The sequence below is a fragment of the Homo sapiens genome, chromosome 11, assembly GCF_000001405.40.
Source record: "Homo sapiens chromosome 11, GRCh38.p14 Primary Assembly".
NCBI classification, from domain to species: domain Eukaryota; kingdom Metazoa; phylum Chordata; class Mammalia; order Primates; family Hominidae; genus Homo; species Homo sapiens.
Genome location: NC_000011.10, coordinates 75,952,956 through 75,967,710, shown reverse-complemented (window position 1 = coordinate 75,967,710; position 14,755 = coordinate 75,952,956). Strand labels below are relative to the sequence as shown.

The window sequence follows — 14,755 nt, the reverse complement described above, 5'->3', positions numbered from 1 at the left end:
AAATTCACAAAATATTTAAGCAATGTAATGCTAATTAAACCTTTTGTTCAGAAAAATATGCTTATTTTTCATAAAAATGTATTACTGAATTCTTTGAGATTTTTAAGGGTACAAAGAGGTCTTGAGACCAATAACTTTGAGAATTGACAGCTTAGGGTATATTTTATCTTCACCTGTAGTAATTCTTCCCCCCAAATTGAAAATAAATAACAATCAGAAAAAAGGTTTTAAAATTGTGGCAGCTGTCCCAAAAGTTAACACATCTGCTTTTAAATGTCATTTACAGGTTGTTTCTACTGGACCTACACCTAGTCAACCACTAAGAAAAGGAAAAGATTTCCGCAGAAAATATTTCCTATCCATTAATTTCACAGACTTAGCAGTAACAGGCTTAGAACCCGGATTTAGCCAGGAGGATACAGCAAAAATATATAATAATAAAATGTACAGGAGCTCTGCTTCTGGTGTAAAAGAATAAGTATGCAACAAACTGGTCCTCTCATAGAAGATATAGACTATGGATAACAAATATAGACTATGGATAAAATACAAAAATTGCTACTTGAGGGTTCTTGAGACTGATCAATGGCAGGCATATTTTGGAGGTGAGTCAGAACTTGGCATAAACAACCAATAAAATGAAATTCCCCTTTTCTGTGGCTTTTCCCTGAGGGTGGCTGCAAACTCCAACAGAAAGTCAACTTCCTTTCTGACCAGAGGAACCAGGGAAAAATGGTCAGGCAATCAAGTATACCAGAATAGAGGAAGGCAGAGAATGGGCACCCCAAATTCTGTTTAAATTCAACCTAAGTCTCTGACTGAATCCTATACTACACATGCATGAGACAAACAGAAAGAAGCTTGTGCCTAAGAGTAAAAGAACTACACTGTAATCTGAGCCAATGTTCATTGCAGGCATGACAGTTTGAGCCTAACCAAGTTAACTACCTGCTAAAATAAAAACATCAACATTTTTTGGAACAAAGTAACAAAATCCAGAGATTCCACCAAATTACATTCACAATGTCCAGAATACTATGCAGTATTACCCAATATATGAAGAGTCAGGAAAATGTGACTCACTCTCTAGGGAGGAGAAAACCAACATATGCCAACCCCAAGATGATCCAGATGTTAGAATTACAAAAACTTTAAAGCCACTCATACATATATGTCGACAAAAATTGAAATATTCTTATAGTGAATAAAAGGATATGAAATATCAGCAGAGAACTAGAAAATATTTAAAAGGTCCAGATTTCTGCTCCTGGGCAAGATGGAATAGGAAAAAAAGAACACTGCCCAACTAATTTTACCAGGCTACCATAATCCTACTACCAAAATCTGAAAACGCAATTCAAAACATTGTATCACAACATCCCTGATAAATACAAGTGCAAAATTCCTTAAATTATTACCAAAGCAAATCCAAGACAATACGAAGGAAAAAAATTTATAAGAATAAATCCAACAAAATACAAAAATAATTATATATTATAATCAATTTAGGTTTATTCCAGAAATGCAATGTTAAACATTTGAAAATAAACCAAAAAGTTAATCACATTAAGAGAATAAAGAAAAAACCATATGATCATTGCAATGGATATAGAAAAACCATCTGACAAAATTCATCTTCTATTCGTGATAAAAACTCTCAGAAACTAGGAATAAGAGGAACTTCCTAAAATTAATGAAGGGCATTCTTAGCACTATATTTAACAGAGAAATGATGAGTTGTTTCTCCTCAAAACCAGGAACAAGGTGAGGATTCCTGTTCTTACTATTTTTTTTGTCCAACATTGTACTGGATGAAAATCAAATAAAGGGCATAAAACTGTGCAAACTTTCCTGTTATGATTCTTTACAAAGAAAATCCCAAAAAACTATAAATAACTAGCATAATGAATAAGTTAATATAACAAGATTGCAAGACAGAAGATTAATAAGTTAAAATTAATTGTATTATTACATACTAGCAGCAAACGAATGAGAAATAAAAATTTAAAAACAATTCCACTTGCAATAATGCCTCCCCTGCCAAAAAACTCCCATAAAACACTTCAGAATAACTCTAACAAAAGATGTCCAACATCTGCCGGGCGCGGTGGCTCATGCCTGTAATCCCAGCACTTTGGGAGGCCAAGGCGGGCAGACCACGAGGTCAGGAGATGGAGACCATCCAGGCTAACACGGTGAACCCCCGTCTCTACTAAAAATATTTTTAAAAAATTAACTGGGCGTGGTGGTGGACGCCTGTAGTCCCAGCTACTCGGGAGGCTGAGGCAGGAGAATGGTGTGAACCCGGAAGTCGGAGGGTGCAGTGAGCCGAGATCGCGCCACTGCACTCTAGCCTGGGCGACAGAGCGAGACTCCGTCTCAAAATTAAATAAATAAATAAATAAAAGATGTCCAAAATCTCTACAGTGAAAGCTACAACATTATAAAGAGAATTAGAGAGAAATCTAAGTAAAAGAGATATACACCATGTTCACGGATTGAAGGACCCACTATTGTTAAGATAGCAATTCTCCACAATTTTATCTACAGCTTCTTATCAAAATTCCATCAGACCTTTTTTTTGTGTGTGTAGAAATTGACAAACTGATTCCCAAATTCAGTTGGAAATATAAAGAACCCAGAAAAACCACAGAAGTTTTAACAAAGTTGGAAGACTTACCCTGTCAAATTTTAAGATGACAAATCTATGATAATAAGTGAGTTTGGTATTGGGGAAATACAGACATATAGATCAATGGAACAGAAAAGAAAATCCAGAAATAGATGCACATATACATGATCAATTGATTTTGAACAAACATGTCAAGGCAATTAAATGGGGAATGAAAAGACTATTCAATAAATGATGCTAAATCAACCGGATATCCATGCAGGGGGAAAAAATTACCCTTACGTACGTGATACAAAACAATGAACTATAGAACCACACCCAGCTAATTTTTTGTACTTTCAGTAGAAACGGGGTTTCACCATACTGGCCAGGCTGGTCTCGAACTCCTGACCTCGTGATCCACCTGCCTTGGCCTCCCAAATTGCTGGGATTACAGGCGTGGGCCACCACGCCCAGCCCTAAACTGATACTTATTAAAAGATGCATGCATATCCAATAGGATATGAAAAATGCTCATCATGGAAATACAATTTAGAACAAAAAGAGAAAATACTACATAACTGCTAGAATAGCTAAATGTAAAAAGACTGACCTCCTAAATGAAATGGACAAATCCTTGAAAGACACAAGCTACAAAAGTTAATGCAAAAGGTAAATTATTAAAGAAATTGAATTTCCAGTTCAAAAACCTTCCCACAAAAAAACCTCCAGGCCCAGATGGCTTCAATGCAAATTCTACTTAACATTTAAGAAATAATTCCCATTCTACACATATTTTTCCTGAAAACAAAAAGGGAGAAAACACTTCCCAAAAGTGAGTTGCGGCCAACGTCACCCTGACAACAAAATGAGACAAAGAGATTACAAGGAAACAAACTACAGACCAATATTCTTTATAAATACATATGCACAATTTCTTTAAAATTTTTTAACAAATTAAATCCAGTAATGAGCATTAAAAAGTAATTCACCATGACCAAGAGGGCTTTCCCTAGGAATGCAAAGTTGGCTTAATATTAAAAAATCAACCAATGTATTTCACCTTAATACCAGAAGAGAAAAAACATACATTTATCTAAACAGATACAGGAAAGGAATCTGACAAAATCTGAAACACAAACTGTGCATGCTGGTACACGTCTATAATCCCAGCTACTCGGGAGGCTCAGGTGAGAGGACCACTTGAGGCCAGGAGTTCAAGAGCAGCCCAGACAACATAGTGAGATCTCACCTCAAAACAAACAAACAAAAAACTTATAAAACATAAGTAAAAATTCAAAATGATAACAGCAGAAATTTCATAAGAAATAAAATTAAATGCCAAAAAACATTAGGCATTGATGTAATGTGAGAAGATGCCAAATTTTTGAAAGTCACCAACTATGAACCCAATTTCTTATAACACAGTTAATCATATATGGTCTTGGAAGGTAATCTGATTTCTTTCAACATCAAATATGCCTTCTTTGCTGCATTTTTACGTAGGTTAAAATGAAAATGATTTCTTAAATATCGGAAATGGATGGGTTGGAATACAATGGCCATGGGCCAATTTGAAAAGTAAATGAGCAAAAAGACAAATAGTAAAGTTTTCTAATATGCTATAGGTAAACCTCAAAGTGACTGACTAATTAACATGTAGATGGCATTATTCTCTAAAAGGAAACAAGTAAACCAAATTATCCATCTCTATTGTCAAATGATTGTGGGAAAGCTGTTTCCCTTCTTTAAGCTTCATTTTCCTGTCCTATTATAAAAGGACATTATGCTAGATTCATTCTTAAATTCAACAAATACTTATTGAGCACCTACTGTGTGGCAAACACTTTTCTAGATGCTGGAAATACACCAATGTAAAAAAAGAGAGAGAGACAAAAACCCCTCGCCTTATAGAGCTTAGAGAGAGAGAAAAATATGCAAAATATGTATCATGGTAAATGGTAATGAATATTATACAGAATAAAGCAGGAAAAGGGATAGAATGTACTGAGGGGGCTATAGTTTTGAATGGGGTTATTAGGGAACCAGATGATTTCTAGGTTCACGTTCAGTTCAAAAATCCAATGATTTTTCTTCTGTGTTGACTAGGCAGCATAAAAACACACAATGAACCTCTGAACTTGACCTCTTTAAACTCACACATTCTGTTACCTTGCTCTGTATGTCACCACTTATATTCCTTTAAAAACAGGATTAAAAATACATTTTTCCACACTGAGATAAAGCATATGCTGTCATTTAATGCAACAATTAATTTCCCAGTCTTTCCTTGGGAGAGGAAAACAAAAATAAAACCCAGCAATTTTCCCCAAGGGTTCTAAAAATCCAGCATTTTTATACACTACAGAAAGAATTAAAATTAGTGATTTTTCCTCCCCCTTCAATATATTTATAGTCTGAAATTTAGTCTTGCTGGGGCTAAGTTACAACAAGAGGTGGTTTAACAGCACCTTTGAAACGGAAGATGTTTTTATAGACAAGGAAAGTCAAGTGAATAATAAGAATTACTACTATACCTATTGCAGTTATCCTATTTTGTATGTTTGCTACCTGCCAGCTATAGCACTAGCTAGAAAATCAGCAACTGTATACAGTTTGAACTAATATATTAATTTCAAATTCCATGAGAGAGAAGTTTCTGTAAGGTTAAGTGCATTGCTGCTTTTCTATACTTCTACTATATGATTATCTTGGGCAAATCTTCAAGGCAACAAAAAGCTTTCATTTGGGGATATAAAGGCCCTCTGCTAAGTTGAGAAGGGTGTAAATGACAATAGGAAGATGCTGCCTATCTGTGATAATGAGTTCACACGAACAAATATTTAAATAATTTTATCTAGAACTTAATTTGAAGATCTGAATTTTATTTTAAGTCCAATCCACAGCACAAAGTTCCTCAAAAGCTATTCATACCCAAGTGGCTTTTAAAAAAAAAAGCTCAATTTATTAGCCATACCCACTATTGTGCTTAGAAAAACACAATATTCATTACAAAATAGACATTTTTCCACTCCACTAGGAAAAACAACTCAAAATTATACTAATATCTTAAATCTGCCCATTTGGGTTAGGATTTCTATTTCTTTGGAAATGCCTCCTTAATAAGAGTATTTCCCAAAAGAGATCACTGTCCACAAACCAGCCTGTTTTGCTCAATCCAAATACTTTTTAAATTCGTCTTTCAAAAGTAGATTAGCTCCCATTTTTTTTTTCCTCCTGGCGGCTATTTTTCATTCGCTATATAGTTCATGTTTAGAGTTCACATTAATAAAACTGCCTGTTAATTATCTTCTAAGTAATTTTATGTAATATAAAGTTTCATCTAGCAGAATAAAGCAGGCACTTCATGCGTTACATTATTAGCAGATGGGAAAGTTTATTTCCAACATTTAAATGCCAATAGAACTCTCTGTGGACAATTAAGAAGATAAAAACGATCTAAAGCGTTTTTTAAAATTAACCCTAGAAGAATATGATACTCTCCTTTAGAAAACAAGAAGTGTAAACAGGTAAATACATAAAAACCTACCAGTTCATTGCTTGTAGATGTGAGTCTTAGTTTTTCTTCAATTTCCTTTCCAATTTTCTGAACAGTTACCTGAGTCTGTTTAATTGCACACTGGGCTCTATGAAGCCTAGAAATATAAGTTATAGAAAAATGTAAATGAGTTAACAGTAAACTCAACAAAGAGCCTCAGATATAAATGACAAACCTGGAGGATACATAGAATTAATAATGAACTCAATTGATTTTTAATTATCTAGCATATTCGCAATGAAATAACAGGGAATACAATAAATCCTATAACAGTAAAGCTCTAAAACACCCTTTTTGTACTTGCCTGCCTGCCTCTGATGTACTGTGAGGTAAGATGAAGAACTCAAAGGAGTTGGGAAGAGCCCTGAGAAAGTAATATAGTAAAATCCTATCATTTATAGATGTGGAAACTGACGCCCAGTGAAATTAAATGGATTGCTAAAGTCACCGAGAGAGTATCACCACTCTCAAAGGTGACAATTACTTCTAGGTATCCATAAAGGAAAAAAAGAATTCACAGTAATCCAAGTTGAGAAGGTTGAATCAAAGCAGACAGCACTCTCAAAGATATAAGAAAAAACCAAAAGATGATAGAAAAGACAAAGTAATAGGAGGAATTAAATACTCGGCCAGGTTCAAACTAGCCAACTACATTCTCAGTAAGGTCTCTTTCAAGGAACAATGAAAAAATTAAGAGCTATTTTTATTTTTAAATTATGGTTTTCTTTGTGTTTTTGCTTCTTGGTCTCCTTATCTTTAATTTAATTTTATTTTGAGACAGGATGTCACTCTGTCGCCCAGGCTGGAGTACAGTGGTGCAATCACGGCTCACTGCAGCCTTGACCTCCCGGGCTCAAGTGATTCTCCTACCTCAGGCCCCCAAATAGCTGGGACTACAGGCATGCACCACCATGCCTGGCTAATTTTTGTATTTTTTGCAGAGACGAGGTTTCACCATGTTGCCCAGACTGGTCTCAAACTCCTGTGTTCAAGCAATGTGCCCGCCTCGGCCTCTCAAAGTACTAGGATTACAGCCCTATGCCACTGCACCTGGCCTCTTTATCTTTAAATATAGCTCATGTATTTCTTATACATTTCCATACCAAATGGTCAAACTGTCTTTATTTGCAGATGACATAATTGTCATGTGGAAAATGATCAGAAATCTACAAAACAAATACTAAAATTAATAAGTTAATTTAGCAAGGTCATGGGATATAAGGTCAATATACACAAAAAAATCAATTATATTTCTGTATGTAGGCATACCTCACTTTACTGCATTTTGCTTTATTGTGCTTCATAGATATTTAAAAAAAAGAAACAAAAAAAAAAAAACAAATTGAAGGTTTGTGGCAACCCTGAGTCAATCAAGTCTACTGGAGCCATTTTTCCACCAGCATGTGGTCACTTCATGTCTCTCTGTCACATTTTGGTAATTCTCACAATATCTCAAACTTTATCATTATTATTATATCTGTTATGGTGACCTGTGATCAGAGATCTTTGGTGTTGCTATTATAGTTATTTTGGAGCACCACGAGCTGTACCCGTATAAGATAGTGAACTTTATCGATAAATGTTTTGTGTTCTGACTGCTCTACTGACTGGCCATTCCCAGTCTCTCTTCCTCTCCTTGGGCCTCCATATTCCCTGAGACACAACAATAATGAAATTAGGCCAAGCCTTACAGTAACCTCTAGGTGTTCAAGTGAAAAGAATAGTCCTATGTCTCTCACTTTAAATCAAAAGCTAGAAATGACAAAGCTTACTGAGGAAGGCAGGTGAAAAGCCAAGATAAGCCAAAAACTAGGCCTCTTGCATGAAACAGTCAGCCAAGTTGTGAATGCAAAGGAAAAGTTCTTGAAGGAAATTAAAAGTGCTACTCCAGTGAACACACGAATGATAAGAAAGTAAAACAGCCTTATTGCTGATGCGGAAAGAGTTTTACTGGTCTGGATGCAAGATCAAACCAGCCACAACCTTCTCTTAACCCAAAGCCTAATCCAGAGTAAGGACCTAACTCTCTTCAAATCTTTGAAGGCTGAGAGAGGTAAGGAAGCTGCAGAAGAAAAGTTGGAAGACAGCAGAGATTGGTTTATGAGGTTTAAGGAAAGAAGCCACCTCTAGAACATAGACATGCAAGGTGAAGCAGGAAGTGCTAATGGAGAAGCTGCAATAAGTTACTCAGTAGCTCTAGCTAAGATCATCAATGAAGGTGGTTATACTAAACAACAGATTTTCAACATAGATGAAACAGCCTTCTGTTGAAATAAGATGCCACCTAGGACTTTCATAGCTAGAGAGGAGAAGTCAATGCCTGGCTTCAAAGCTTCAAAGGACAGACTGACTCTTTTACTAGGGGTTAATGCAGCTGCTGATTTTAAGTTGAAGCTAATGCTCATTTGCAACTCTGAAGACCCTGGGGCCCTTAAGAATTATGCTAAATCTACTCTGCCTGTGTTCTATAAATGGTACATCAAAGCCTGGATGACAATGTATCTGTTTACAGCATGGTTTTATGAATATTTTAGGACTCTTGAGACCTACTGCTTAGAAAAAAGATTTCTTTCAAAATATTATTGTTCATTGGCAATGAACCTGGTCACCCAAGAGTGCTGATGGGCATGTACAAGGAGATTAATGTTTTCATGTCTGCTAACACATTATCCATTCTGTAGCCCATGGATGAAGGAGGCATTTCAACTTTCAAGTTTTATTATTTAAGAAATACATTTCATAAGCCTAGAGTTGCCACAGATAATTGATTCTTCTGGTGGATCTGGGCAAAATCAATGGAAAACATTCTGGAAAGGATTCGCCATTCTGAATGCCATTCAGAACATTCATGATTCATGGGAGTAGATAAAAATATCAACATTAACAGGACTTTGGAAGAAGCTGATTCCAACCCTCATGGATGACTTTGAGGGGTTCGAGACTTCAGTGGAGGAAGTAACTGCAGACATGGTTTTAATAGCAAGAGAATTAGAATTATAAGAGGAGCCTGAAGATGTGACTGAATTGCTGTGATCTCATGATCAAACTTGACTGGATGAGGAGTTACTTTTTACAGTTAATCAAGAAAAGTGGTTTTTTGAGATAGAATCTACTCCTGGTGAAGAAGCTATAAACACTGTTGAAATGACAACAAAAAATTTACGCCATCATAAACTTAGTTGATAAAACAGTGGCAGGGTTTGAGGGGAAGGACGGACTCCAATTTTGAAAGAAGTTCTACTCTGGGTAAAATGCTATCAAACAGCATCGCATGATACAGAGAATCATTCACGAAAGAAGAGTCAACTGATATGTCAAACTTCATGTTGTCTTATTTTAAGAAATTGTCACAATCACTCCAACCTGCAGTAACCACCAATCTGATCAGTCAGCAGCCACTGACATGGAGGCAAGACCCTCCACCAGCAAAAAGATATGGCTTGCTGAAGGTTCAGATGATCGTTAGCATTTTTTAGCAATGAAGTATGTTTTAATTAAGGTATGTACATTGTTTTTAGACATAATGCTATTTCACACTTAATAGACTACAGCATAGTGTAAACATAACTTTTATACGCACTGGGAAACCAAAAAGTTCATGTGACTCGCTTTATTGAAATATTTGATTTACTGCTTTATTGCAATATTTGCTTTATTGGGGTAGCCTGGAACCAAATCCTCAGTATCTCCAAGGTATTCCTGTATTAGCCCCAAACAATTGAGTTATGAAATTTTTAAATAATACTTTAATGACAGCATCAAAAAACATAAAATACTTAGGGATGAAATAAACAAAAGATGTGCAAGACTCAACCCTGAAGTCACAAAACACTGCTACAATAAAGAAGAACTAGTAAGTAAAAAATACATGTACATGGACTGGAAGATTCTATATTGTTAAGTTGTCAGCTTTTCCCAAATGGGTAAATAGCTTGAGACTCCTAATCACGGTCCCAAAGGATTTTTTTTTGACAGAAATTAGTAAGATGATACTGTAATTTATAGAGAAAAGCAAAGAATCTAGAAGGGACAAACCAATCTTGAAATATGCCAGATTTCAAGAGTTTCTATTAAGTTACATAATTAAGACAATATGGTGTGGTCATGGAGATAAAAAAAAAAACAAAGATCAATGGAACAGAAGAAAGTGTATCATAATAATCCTACACATATATAGCAAATTAATTTTTGACAAAGGAATGAAGGCAAATCAGTGCAGAAAACAAAGTTTTTTAAACAAAGGTGCTATGGAACACTGAATAAGCATAGAAAAAAAATCAATCTCATCCCCTACTTCATACACACAAAAATTAATTTAAAGAGGATCACAGTAAATATAAAAAGCTGAAATCATAACACTTATGACCAAAAATGTAGGACTATCTCCTGCAAACTTGGGGTAGACAAATATTCACTAGAGAAGACATAAAAAGAATTAATCATAAAATTAAAAAGGAATAAATTAGACTTTAAAAAAATGAGAAATACCTGTTAATCTTAACAAAGCTCCCATTAGGAAAATTTAAAAAAAAAAACAGTCCATAGACTGGGAGGAAATATTTGCAAAGCACCTATCTGACTATAAAGAAGTCTTATAAATCAGTAATCAAGACAGCCAATTAAAAATGGACAACAGAATGAAATGAACACTTCACAAAAGAAGATATAAGAATGGCCAATAAGCACAGGAAAAGTCACTCAAAGTCTTAGTCATCAGGGAAACGCATATTAAAATCATAATGAGGTGCCATTTCACACCTGTTAGAATAAATAAAATTAAAATGACAACACTAAATGCTGGCAAGGATGTGGAACAGCTAAAACTTGCATGCATTGCTGGCAAAAATATATCAGGCTGGTGCAAAAGTAACTACAGTTCTTGCAATTATTTTAAATTTAAATTTAAATTGCAAGAACCCACGAGATCAGGAGATCAAGACCATCCTGGCCAACATGGTGAAACCCCGTCTCTACTAAAATACAAAAAGTTAGCCAGGCATGGTGGCATACGCCCGTAGTCCCAGCTACTTGGGAGGCTGAGGCAAGGGAATCGCTTGAACCCGGGAAGCAGAAGTTGCAGTGAGCTGAGATCGTGCCATTGCACTCCAGCCTGGCGACAGAGCAAGATTCCATCTCAAAAAAAAAAAAAAAAGGCAAGAATTGCAATTACTTTTGCACCAGCCTAATAAATAATAGTGCCATTTTTTAGAAATTATTAGTTATTAAGTTAAACATATATTTAACCTATGACCCAGCAATTCTACTCCTAGGTATTTACCCAAGAAAAATAAAAAACGTATGTCTACAAGAAGCTTTGTATAAGAATGTTCATAGAAAACAACCCAAATGTCTATCAAATAGAAGAATCAACAGATTGAGGTATATTCATATAATGAAAATCTACTTAGCAATAAAAAGGAACACACCACTGGTACATACAACAATATGAATGGATCTCAAAAACAATATGTTGAGTGAAAAAAGCCAGAAACAGAAAAGTCCATATTGTATGATTCCCTTTTTACAAAGTTCAAGAACAGGTAAAACCAACCTATGGTGACAAATCAAAAGAGTGGTGGGGACTAACATAGGGAGAAGAGGGAACAAAGGAACTATCTGAGGTGATGGAAATGTTCTAAGTCTTTATTTTTCTAGATGGTGGTCTCACTTTGTCACCTAGGTTGGAGTGCACTGGCATGACCATAACTCACTGCCCCCTCAAATTCCTGGACTTAAGGGATCTTCCTGCCTCAGCCTTCTGAGTAGCTGGACTACAGGAGCGTGCAACTGGGTCCGACTAATTTTTTGTAGAGACAGAGTCTCGCTATGCCCAGGCTTATCTCAAACTCCTGGCCTCAAGCCATCCTTCCGCCTCAGCCTCCCACAGTGTTGGGATTACAAGAGTGAGCCACTGCACCTGGCTTTGATGTCTTGATTAGGGTAAGGAGTACACCAAAACTCACAGATTTTACACTTAAGATCTGTGCATTTCACTGTGTGTGAATTTTACCTCGGTTTTTAAAAGGTGGTCATCAATCCTAACCTGAAAGTCATCATATATATGAGAGGTTCATTTTCTTAGGCATTTGATGATATCACTACCTCTGCCAACATTATTATTATTACCCTAAACCCTGAAAATATTCATGATATATTCTTTACTTTTAGAAATTGCCTGATATTTATTGATGATTTCTTAGGTCACATAAAAAGGACCAACTCTCAATACAGCTATTTTGTTCATGGGACCAGTAATTCAACAAATCCCTCAGGGCTCCTAAGGAATCCAATAGAGGAGATTATACTCCATCCTGTTGCCTCTTGGTCTGGGTGTGTTTGTGTGTTTAATCTACATTGACAGTAATACTCTCTTAAAAAGACAGCTCTAAAGTAATTTTACATCAAGGTAAGGCCCTTTGTGATGTAGACCCTGCTGACACATCCAGTCTCATTCCTGATTATTTTTTACCTTGCACCATCTTCTCTAGCAATACTAAACTACTGGCAACTCTCCAAACATATCCTTATAATTTATTCCTTCTGTACCCCTGTGTGAGTTGTTCTATGTGCCTACAAGTTCTTCCCATCCCTTAACAGATAAATAAACTCCTAATCCATCAAGAGGCAGCTCAAGCAACCTCTTCTTCAAAAGCCTTTCCTGACTATTACGGACAGGTAGAGGTGCTCCTTCCTCTGGAAATCTGCTACTTCATGTGTATGGCACCACAAAAATATTACATGACCCTATTTTACAGCAACTGTTTATTTCTTTGCCTATTTCACCAGATCTTTCTGGGGGAAAAATAAATTTCATCTTCTAAGGTGTATTCCAAATGCTAAGCACAGAATGTGGCACAAAGGAGGGACTCAAAATGTATTTGCTGGCTTAATGCCTAATGTCTGAACATAAAAGCACAGTCCCAAAATTTGACATTTTTGACATCAGTGGGAGATTAATTGGAAGATCAGTGTGGTAGTTTCCTAGATTTGTAACTTCAAAATAGTGTATCAAAATAAAAATCACATAGAGACCACTCATTCAAGTGAGGAAACAGCAATTTTTACTAAAAATGTTATCAGAATTCTAAAAATGATAGGCATCATCAACCCAGAGAAGAAATCAACAAAATAGCCTGTTACTTTAAAAGTAGGAAAGGGCCGCCTAAAACTTCACTGGTACTATGCAAACAACCTTGTCAAATGGTAAAGACTTTAAAAATAAAAATGATTCATGACCATAATTAATGTATGACTTCAACTATTTGGCTCTCACTGCCCCAGACGCTTTCTGATCTTACCTTAGGGGCTTAAAACACACAGACAGAGTCACATTTCCTCCAATCTTCAGTGTTATCCAAATAGACTTTCAGAGCCCCTGCTGCATCAAGACAGAGCTAATAACACCCCCCTTTCAAACCCAACAGGAGAATAAAAGTTTGAAGTATTTAGACTTTGAAAAATAACATGGGACATCCTGATTCCCCTGGGGATAAAGAGGTGAAGGACTAACTAAAAAAGAAACAACTGCTTTACCTCCAAACTGGTTGGCCAATTTCAGAGTAATGTTTCTTGATTTTGCAAACTATCAAAAGAATCTATAAAGAAAGAAATATATATCATGTAGTAATATGGGTGAGTGGTCAATATCAACACTAACATCCTCAAGCTGAAATAAAACTTATCGTCACTGGTGTTGGGAAGGAGAGATCAAATAGCTATCCGATAGGTATTCTGGTGATAGGAAAGAGATGCATTCCTATTTTTTAACATGATTTGAGATAAACTGAAACTGGACTAAAGTGCTTTGAGGCTATATATTTCTGTGAACGTAAAGATACATTGAATAAAAAAAATTATGTCAAGTAAATTATTAATAAAGATTAACTGAGATGAAGCCAATGAGATATTAAAAATAATCTCACTGAAGGAGAAGTTAGAAGATAATATTGATCATATGACATCAGAAACCCTGCATTCAAGTTTAAGACAAAGAATGACAAATTAGAATACCTACAAAGGCAGTGAAGTATAGTTCCCTACGGCTTGCAGAGAGAGATAAAAAGGGAGAAGAAATACAGGAAAGACAGATGTCTATGAAACAAATCAATACCTTATAATTAATGGTTTTGTATTTCATATGAAGGTGCTTAGATTTTTATTCTGAAGGCATCAGAAAACCATTAAAAAGTTTTAAGCTGGGAAAGATTTAATTACATTTGCACTTTAGAAAGATATTTCTTCTTGTAATAGGTGAATGGCACACAGAGAAAAGAGACTGCAAACAGGAAGGTTAGTGTGAGGTTATTCCAACAGTCCAAGTAACAAATGGCTCTGTCCTAAATTAAAATAGTGACAGGAAAGATGGTGTAAATGTGAAAAGTGAGAGAGAAGAGAGATAAAGAATGATGCTTGAAAACAAATTACCAGCATAAAAATGAAAGAGAAGACATCACTACAGATCCTTCACATAGTTAAAAGGAATTAAGGAGAAATTATGAGCAACTGTATGCCAATAAATTCAACTTAAATGAAATAGTCAAATTGTTTAAAATCCACAAATTTCCAAAACAAACAAAAGAAACAGA

General features: G+C 35.6%; 1 protein-coding gene across 10 annotated transcripts in view; it reads right to left on the bottom strand.

The window, feature by feature from the left end:
- Positions 1–14,755, bottom strand: part of UVRAG (UV radiation resistance associated) — a 329,023-nt gene that overhangs the window by 176,522 nt on the left and 137,746 nt on the right. For 9 of the 10 annotated variants that reach the window (NR_170160.1, NR_170161.1, NM_001386671.1 and 6 more), the window contains one exon: positions 6,162–6,267. Coding sequence is in view for 7 of the 10 variants with exons in the window: in NM_001386671.1 (NP_001373600.1) it covers positions 6,162–6,267 (106 nt within the window). In the remaining 3 variants the exon portion in view is untranslated. Of the gene's footprint in view, positions 1–6,161; positions 6,268–13,703; positions 13,761–14,755 lie in introns of those variants that run through there. The other variant, XM_047427522.1, reaches the window with a different exon arrangement.